This window comes from Homo sapiens, chromosome 7, assembly GCF_000001405.40.
Source record: "Homo sapiens chromosome 7, GRCh38.p14 Primary Assembly".
NCBI classification, from domain to species: Eukaryota; Metazoa; Chordata; class Mammalia; order Primates; family Hominidae; genus Homo; species Homo sapiens.
The window spans coordinates 148,579,231-148,589,041 of record NC_000007.14 but is presented as its reverse complement, the minus strand read 5'-3'; the positions used below and the strand labels follow the sequence as shown (position 1 = coordinate 148,589,041).

Genomic DNA, 9,811 nt, shown 5'->3' with positions numbered 1-9,811 from the left:
AGTGGAAAACTCTGCCTCCAGAATGGAGATCTGGCTTTCTCTTCCCCTGCTCAACCTGAGCTCAGGGATTCTGTGCCCCTCGCTCTCCGGACAGTTTTTACACCAGATTATCTTCTAATTGCTGTGAATGCAGCCGCATCAGCAAGTCCCCATCTGGGGACATTATCAATTTCAAACCTTGGTCAGTCATGAAGCCCCATTGAAGGACTTCATCCTGAAATCCACGAACAAAGAACGAGATCCCGCAATGCTGTCATCTAAAATGCCTGAAAATGCCAGTGCTGCGACAGATGGCCCTGCTCGGTGTAAGTGACAATGCCCCCAGCAGGCCATTGATTCTGTTTGTGAAATTTAAATATCTGAACAATGACTGATGGTGCTAGGGAGAAGTGTACCTTCAATCCCCCCGACTCCCACCCCCGCCAGGGTTCAGCATATCTCAGTAGTCCTAGTAAAAATAGGTCAGTAAACAGCCTTATTTATGGTGAATGCTTGGGGTCCCTAGGTCATTGAGCCACGAACACTCGTGGAACTGAGGTGTGGCTGGGGATGGGGTTGGAAATAACTCGTTAAGCAGAAAACAGTGTATTCCACATGCACAGAATACAGAAGGAACTGAGTTGGCAGCGATCAAGACAGTTCATGGGAGGAACTCAGAGGAAAATCAATGCTTTCTCTGTGAGAAAGTTTTGAACACTTTTCCCTTTAAGAAAAGTGAAAACTGTCGTTTAATTTTAAGGAACGTGATCATTATAAAAACCTGGACTCTTTCAAATTACAAAGTTTTGTTTATGAAAGCAAGAGTTTGAAATGTCCCTTTAAGATAGAATGAGGAAAACCAGGATTATATTAAGCCTTGTTTATCAACAGCTCATAACAATGTGTGTTTCTGCATGCTTTTCCCTTACTCTGAAATAGGTTTTACTTTGCTTAAATTAGTAATTAGTAAATATTAATGCTTTATTGGTTTAATAATACATGTATTAAAAGCAGTTTATTTTCACAGAAAAAGCCTAATTATTTGGTATTGTATGCTACAAAAGAGAAATGCCATAATTCCCAGTGGGGGCTGTGGATACTGGACCCCCATAACCAGGTGCCAGAGATCACGTGGTGTTCAAAGTCCAAATTATAAGCATAGTGCCGAGGACTCTGAGGATGACTTCTGCACATCTTCCGAAAAGGGATGGAACAGCAGAATGAGTGCCATCATGGCTTGGATGGTTGGAGGTGCTTTGGGCATGAAGACCCTCTAACTGTGAAGTTAGAGGCTTCCAATGTTAGCTCTGTTTTAAGTATATGCACAAAGTCACAGTCTCATAGCTGAGCTATTAAAAATAAAATCAACACCAAGATATACTTGAGAATGACTTTTTTATCACTCGAAACACTTCCTTTTATCATCGATTACACATGCCTTTGATCTTTGTCTTGTGTGAAAGTCTACTATAAAAATGTTTATCGTCATTGTGTCTATACTGATGAATTTAAAGGGTCTAGAAAATATTTCAGAAACAAGGTTTTGGCAGCCCCCCCAAGCATTAATTAGCATCTGTCTTAGAAACACCCATGTGCAAATGCAAAGCTCCAAAAGCAACTTTTGACCCTTTCCTTCTGTGTTGATTGTTGCATGGATGGCAGTGGCATGGTGGAAAGACACATGGGCTCTGCAGCATTAGTGTTAAAACCCTCCATGGGATTAGACTGCCCCAAGCAGCCTGGTGTCTATTCTGGGCTCTGGTCTGTAGGCCTCCTGGGGGCTGACAGCAGCTGCCTTCAGGCTCTCAGGGTGGGGTCCTTCAAGGAGCAACTGAGCAGCTGCTGTGCTCCATCTTTCTCTTGCCCATCCTGGGAGAGCCTCTTCCCCTTCCCCTGTCCCTTCCTTTCTGGCTAAGAGACCATTCTCCTAACGGCGGGCTTCCTACTTCCTCCTTCAGCATTGGATGCGTCTGTCTCTGCCAAAGCAGTAACAGCCCCTGCCTGGAATATTTGTATTGTAATTTAAAAAACTGATATCTACTGTTGCTTGAGCTCTCTGATGCTAAGTGCTTCAGATGAATTATCCTTCCAAACCACCTCACACTCACAATTCCAGATCAGTAAGTTATGGGTTGATCTTAGTGTTACTGGACAGGGATCCAGATCCAGACCCCAGGAGAGGGTTCTTGGATCTCGTGCAAGAAAGAATTCAGGGCGAGTTCATAGAGTAAAGTGAAAACAAGTTTATTAAGTAAAGGAATAAAAGAATGGCTACTCCACAGACAGAGCAGCCTCGAAGGCTGCTGGTTGCCCATTTTTATGGTTATTTCTCGATTACACGCTAAACAAGGGGTGAATTATTCGTGCCTCCCCCTTTTAGATTATATAGGGTACCTTCCTGACATTGCCATGGCATTGGTAAACTGTCAGGGCACTGGTGGGAGCGTAGCAGTGAGGATGACCAGAGGTTACTCTTGTGACCGTCTGTGTTTTCACGGGTTTTAGCCAGCTTCTTTACTGCAACCTGTTTTATCAGCAAGGTCTTTATGACCTGTATCTTGTGCCAACCTCCTATCTCATCCTGTGACTCGGAATGTCTTAACTGTCTGGGAATGCAGCCCAGTGGGTCTCAGCCTCATTTTACCCAGCTCCTATTCAAGATGGAGTTGCTCTGGTTCAAATGCCTCTGACATTAGAGTGATATGGCTTCTTTTTCATGTAGGTCTTTACACGAGATGTAGAGAAGTCTCCAGGACTATAGGAAAGACACACAAGCCCAACCTTCATCTGGAGAAAAGGAACTGGGTTTGGCCAGGCTAAACCCCACGTGGCTTGAAGTCTTGGTGTCCCGTTCGTGATGTTATTCCATACTGAATAAGCCAGATGCTGAGAAGTCTGATACATGCTGAACTACTGTGTTTTGATGTGAATGTCTTGTTGAAATCCTATGGTCAGACGGCACTATTGGCAGGAATTGGGAATTTTTCCCAGAGAGAGTGGATATTCCCACCATCAAAGATCTTGAGAAGATCAATAATCCCAGGATGGGGAATGAGGCCTGGGGAAGTGGCCTTTGGCCTGGGAGAGGGCATGGAGAAACTGCCCTTTCTCCGGGCCTCATGGGCCAGAAGGGACCCTGTTGAATGGTCCGTGCCTTACAAATTCTGAAAGCAGTCTTATCTAGAATTCAGTTTTAAAGAATTTCTGTATTGCAATTATTTCCTATTATCCCCAAGAGTAGTGGACATTTGTTTTTGCCCTCCTAATGTTCAACTCACCCTTTTTTGGTAATAGCACCTTCAATTTTCCTGGGGAAGATTGGATTCCCCACTCGTCCCATGGGTTTCAGACAGGGCTGGCCCCATCCCATGGCTTTGTGGGTACACTAGTGACAACAGAGCTGGCCGATGTGAGTACTGTGCACCGCTGGCCATGGTGACTGGTTCATGGCTGAGCATGTGACCCCAGCTGGGCCAATCAGAGCCAGGCTTGGGTCTTGCTAGGACTGTCGGGGAGAGTCATCCTCTTACCTTTGGAAGGAACAAGCCTAGAGCTTCCGGGGACCACCACTTGGAGAATAAAGTACACAGAGCGCAACAGAGCCAAGAAAGAGAACTTGAATCCTGAAGACGTGCAGCCATGTCTTCAGAGTGAAGACCTGAAGCCATATCTTCAGACTGAAGACCTGAGCCTCTGAATCCAGCCATGCCCAAATTAAGAATATGCCTGTACTTTTTCAGCTTTGTGAACTGAAGAACTCTCTCTTTTTGGCTGGAGTCAGTTTCGATTGGAGTTTCTGTCATTTTCTTCTAAAGCTATCTTATTAAATGTATAAGCTATGTCTCATCTATCACCATGGGAAGTTCATGAGGGGTCCTTGCCCATGCTTGACTAAAGCGCACTGTGTGAGAACAGCAACAGCTTCAGAAGCTGATGCAGACCCTACAGGAAGTCATCTGCAGCGGGGAGGTGGACAGCGGCAGTCTGAGGACTGATACCACCAAAGGCCGCAAGCTTTCCACCGGACGGATGTGTGGAGCATGTCATTTTATTTGTAGATCCTCAGAAATACCTGGGAAAGGCATCTAGTTAAGAGGCTCTGGATGTCATAATAATTTGGGCATTAAAAGCTAATGTTTATACCCATGTTCAAATCAGCATTATGGACAATAACCAAAAGGTAGAAGCAATGCAAGTGTTCACACACAGATGAATAAATAAACAAAATGTGTTCTAGCCATACAATGGGAGATTATTCAGCTTTAAAAATGAAGGAAATTCTACCACATGCTACAACATGGATGAATTTTTAGGACGTTATGCTAAATGAAATAAGCCAACCACAAAAAACCCCACAAAATGTTTTATGATTGTACTTATAAGGGGTATGTAGAGTAGTCAAATTCAGAAAGTAGAACAGTGGTTACCACGGGCTGGTGGAAGGGGGAAATGAGGAATTCTTGTTTAATGTATACAGAGTTTCAGTTTTGCAAGAGCTCTGAAGATGGATGGTGGTGATGTCTGCACAACAATGTGTTTCTACTGAAAGTGATTGAACTGGACACATAAATACGATAAAGATGGTACATTTGTGCATGTATATTTTACAACAGTTTTTTTTAAAGCTGATGTTATCTCATTCTCATTATATTTCAGGCAGCGAGGCCAGTCAACACTTGGATTACACAGCTAAGTGTTTTACATTGTGCCAGGGAGGAACAGACAGAGTTGACTGGGGTGAGAAGGCTGAAAATAGGTTCTAGGTTTCTTCAAGGAGTTTCAGATTGGAGACAGTTCCTGAATCAGTAACGAATATTATAGGAACAGTCCATAAATTTAATTTAGGCTACCTACAAGAGCTAGAAGTTCATTCTTTTCTTTCTTTCTTCCCTCCTTCCCTCCCTTCTTTCCTTCCTCTCTTTCTCTCTTTTCTTTCTTTCTTTTCTTTTATTTCTTTTGACAGGGTCTCACTCTGTTGCCCAGGTTGGAGTGCAGTGGTGCCACATCATAGCTCACTGCTACTTCAACCTCCTAGGCTCAAGCAATCCTCCCACCTCAGCCTCCTGAGTAGCTAGAATTGCAGGCATATACCACTACACCTGGCTTTTTTTTTTTTTTTTTTTTGGAGAGATAGGGTCTCACTGTTTTGCCCAGGCTGGTCTCAAACTCCTGGGCTCAAGCGATCCTCCTGCCTTGGGCTCCCAAAGTGCTGAAATTGCAGTTATAAGCCACTGCACCCAGCCCTTTCTGAGAATATTTAATACACTTAGAGGTGAGACCTAGCAATATTGGAGCTACAGTCTTAGTTTTCGTTTTTGATTCTTCCACTGTGAATCTGGATCACCTGTAGAATGATCGCGGTGGAGAGGCAGAGGAACTGGTGAGCCCCTGTGTCATGGTGGGGTAGGTTAAGAGTGCTTTGGGAGTAATGAGATCCTTGCTGGAGGGAAAAATGTAGGGAAAGATCTGGGGTTCTTGGTGTTCCTTTCATCCTTTATTTCTTCCCTTCCTTGCTCCAGGCAGCATATATCATCTGCATAAAAATTGCATTAAAAATAATTTTCAGCCTTTAATCCCAGCACTTTGGGAGGCTAAGGTGGGTGGATCACTTGAGGTCAGGAGTTTGAGACCAGCCCGGCCAACATGGCAAAACCCTGTCTCTACTAAAAATACAAAAATTAGCTGGGCATGGTGGCGCTCATTTGTAGTCCCAACTCTCTGGGAGGCTAAGGCAGGAGAATTGCTTGAACCCAGGAGGTGAAGGTTACAGTGAACTGAGATCATGCCACTGCACTCCAGCCTGGGTGACAAGAGCAAGACTCTGTCTCAAAAAAATAAGAGGCCAGGTGCGGTGGCTCATGCCTGTAATCCCTGCACTTTGGAAGGCCGAGGCGGGCAGATCACGAGGTCAGGAGATCTAGACCATCCTAGCTAACGTGGTGAAACCCCGTCTCTACTAAAAATACAAAAAATTAGCCGGGCGTGGTGGCAGGCGCCTGTAGTCCCAGCTACTCGGGAGGCTGAGGCAGGAGAATGGCGTGAACCCGGGAGGCAGAGGTTGCAGTGAGCCGAGATCGTGCTACGGCACTCCATCCAGCCTGGGCGACAGAGTGAGACTCCATCTCAAAATAAAATAAAACAAAACTAATTTTCAAATGCTTCCCTTTGAAGTACAGAGGACCAAAGTGGATGAGCCCTGCTGACCTTGAACACAAGAGGCAGCATGCCAGGACCTTGCGTGAAGAGGCCTTTCTCACAGGGTGAAAAGCGCGCTTACCAGCCTGAGCCCTAGCGGCTCCAGCAAGATGAACTTGGTACTGTGGAGAGAAGAGTGATGGAGAAGGAAAGAGGAAGGGAGATAAGGCCTCAGGGACTTCCAGGTACCTATCCCAGGAAGACAGGCTGTCCATATGCTCGAAATATTCCTAGCACGACCTGTAACGATTGTATTTTGTACCATTCTCCAGTTAGGTTAGTGACTGTGTATGTTCCATGTGTGACTGTATACTCTTTCAGGTGGTATGAGGCATCATGGCAGAATGACGTGTGTAGGTTTTATTCCTCTTCATTAAAACAGTGATTCATCAGGTTATGGGTGCACCAAAATCTCACAGATCACCACTAAAGAACTTAATCATGTAACCAAGCACCACCTGCTCCCCAATAATCTTTGGAAATAAAAGATTAAAAAATAAATTAAAAAAATTAAAAACCAAAATTCATGTCTAAAAAAAAAAAACACACACACACAGTAATTAAAAATGGTGGTCAGGCTGGGTGTGGTGGCTCATGCCTGTAATCCCAGCACTTTGGGAGGCTGAGGCAGGCAGATCACGAGGTCAAGAGCTCGAGATCATCCTGGCCAACATGGTGAAACCCCATCTCTACTAAAATACAAAAAAAAAAATTAGCTGGGCGTGGTGGCGGGCACCTGTAGTCCCAGCTACTCAGGAGGCTGAGGCAGGAGAATTGCTTGAACGCGGGAGGCAGAGGTTGCAGTGAACCAAGATCACACCACTGCACTCCCGCCTGGCAACAGAGTGAGGCTCCATCTCAAAAAAAAGGTGGTCAATGAGATGAAGAAAAAGATAAAAAAGCAAGGGGGTGGAATAGGGACTGATGAAGGCGTGCATTTTCTACCAGTATACACCAGACTGCATTTCAGGAGGTTACACAATAAGGTTTTATCCACAAGATGAAGTGAAACCCAGGGACTTTAAAATGTCCACATTTATTTTAACACATAGGTCATTTAGGGGAAAGGAATTGAGTTTCAAGAAATTGAAACTTACGGGATTGCTTAAAACCTTGTTGATGGAAATAGAGCTAGAAAAACTCCATTGACCTGTCAAATCAATGATGGCCATTCAGTGGGTTTCATCTCAATAGTTTCTGGGGAGCATTTTGTTAAACATCCTGAGGAGCGGTGCCCCCAGTGGTCTGGAAATTCTTTGATTCTGAATTTTCAATCAATTAACCTCCTTAAAATCATTTCCCCAGGAAGATATTTTTTAAAAAGTAGAGAGATGATGTGATGTTTAAAACTGAGTGTCAACTTGATTGGATTGAGGGATACAAAGTATTGATCCTGGGTGTGTCTGTGTGGGTGTTGCCAGAGGAGGTTAACATTGGAGTCAGGGGGCTGGGAAAGGCAGCCCTTAATCTGGTGGCATAATCTAATCAGTTTCCAGAGAATATAAAGCAGGCAGAAAAACGTGAAAAGGAGAGACTGGCCTAGCTTCTCAGCCCACGTCTTTCTCCCGTGCTGATGCTTCCTGCCCTCGAACATCAGACTCCAAGTTCTTCAGTTTTGGGACTCAGACTGTCTCTCGTTGCTCCTCAGCTTGCAGACAGCCTATTGTGGGACCTTGTGATCATGTAAGTTAATACTTAATAAACTCCTATATATATATAATATATATGTATATCTCCTATTATATCCTATTAGTTCTGTCCTTTTAAGAGAATCCTAATACAGATGATGAAGAAATAATTCACATTTTAAGGTGTGTTTATTTGTTATGATTTTATCTTATTTTAATTTATTTTTAGAGATGGGATCTCACTGTATCACTCATGCTGGAGTGCAGTGGCACAATCATAGCTCACTGCAGCCTTCAAACTCCTGGGCTCCAGCAATCTTCACGCCTCAGCCTCCCGGGTAGCTAGGGCTACAGGCACGTGTCACCATACTTGGCTAAATTTTTGGCAGTTTTAATGGTTTTATTTAAGCATAAATAAAATATGCACATGAGCTGTGTATTCATTTTCTTTGCTGCGCAGCCTGGCATTGGGGTTGGTGACTCTGAGGGCAGCTGGGCTGCCCTTTCCATATGGCTTTGTGGTTCTTGGAGGAAACACTGTGAGCGATCTCCGCACAGGGAGATTTGCTGCACGTCAGTGGCACTTCCAGCTCCTTGACATTGTGGACCAGGAACTTCCAGAAGCCACTGGGCGGCATGTGCTTTGTTTTTTTGTTCCCATAACCAGTGTTGGGCATCAATATCTGGCCCTTGAATGTTCTCCAAACCCTGTTGCCAATACTGCTGGGTTTCCACCAGTTACACTTAATTTTGACACATCGATCTGACTGGTGCCAGATGAACTTCTTGGTCCTCTTTTTGACAATCTTGGGCTTCATGAGGGGTCTGAGGTCAGCCATCATGTCAAGTAGATGGTTGTCACCTCCGTAGGCGGCACCGAGGAAGAGAGACTGGCTAATTTTTTAATTTTTATTTTTGTAGAAGTTGGGGGGTCTCACTAGGTTGCCCAGGTTGGTCTTGAACTCCTGGCCTCAAGTGATCCTTCTACCTCACTCTCCCAAAGTGCTGGGAGTACAGGTGTGAGTCACTGCATTCAGTTTAGGTGTGTTTATATGGGTGTGGTAATAATCTGTAATCTTGAATTCTTTGAGTATTCTCTCGTATTTAGACAATCATTGCAACATTTAAGAAAACTTGATTTACTAAATTTACTATTATGACTTATAAAAATCACTTAAAAGAGTGCAGAATTTTTGCCTTCTGTGGCAGATGCTGTCATTGCTCTTGGATCCTTTTTCCAATTTCAGGCTTACTAGTGGCAGCAATTTTCTCTCTGACACCCAGCAAGTACCTGCATATGGAGGGTAGTTACTTCTGAGTGGGTCCCAGAGCAAGAGGGGGCTTAGCAGCAGGTCCAAGCTGTGGAACAAATGGCCCTGCTACTGGGGCCATATGGCTCAGCAGATCCCACGGTGCTAGAGGAATCCATGCTTGATAAAGATACCATCTCTAGCAAACCCCATTAAAAGCATGTCAATATAGACTCCAAAATTCTGAACAAGGCCATGCCACCTGGGGAGGAAAACTATACATCATTGGAAAAAGCTCTTCTTATGCTGTTGGGCACTGGTATTGTTTGGCTCTGTGTCCCCACCCAAATCTCACCTTGAATTGTGATCATCCATCCCCATATGTCATGGGAAGAACCTGGTGGGAGGTAATTGAATCACGGGGGTGGGTTTTTCCCAGGCTGTTCTTGTGATGGTGAATAAGCCTCATGAGATCTGATGGTTTCATAAAGGGGAGTTTCCCTGCACAAAATCTCTTGCCTGCCTCATTGAAGACGTCCCTTCGCTCTTCCATCATCTTCCGCCATGATTGTGAGGCCTCCCCAGCTATGTGGAACTGTGAGTCCATTAAATCTCTTTCCTTTATAAAGTACCCAGTCTCAGGTCTGTCTTTATCAGCAGCGTGAAAACGAACTAATACAGGCACGAAATATATTTTGACTATGGATATCAACCAACATATGACCAGAGTGCCTATCACGCGTTGGCTGCTATGGTGCT

The 9,811-nt window shown here is 44.4% G+C and overlaps 1 pseudogene; it reads right to left on the bottom strand.

Moving 5' to 3' along the window:
- On the bottom strand, nt 8,186–8,692 carry RPL32P17 (ribosomal protein L32 pseudogene 17; annotated as a pseudogene).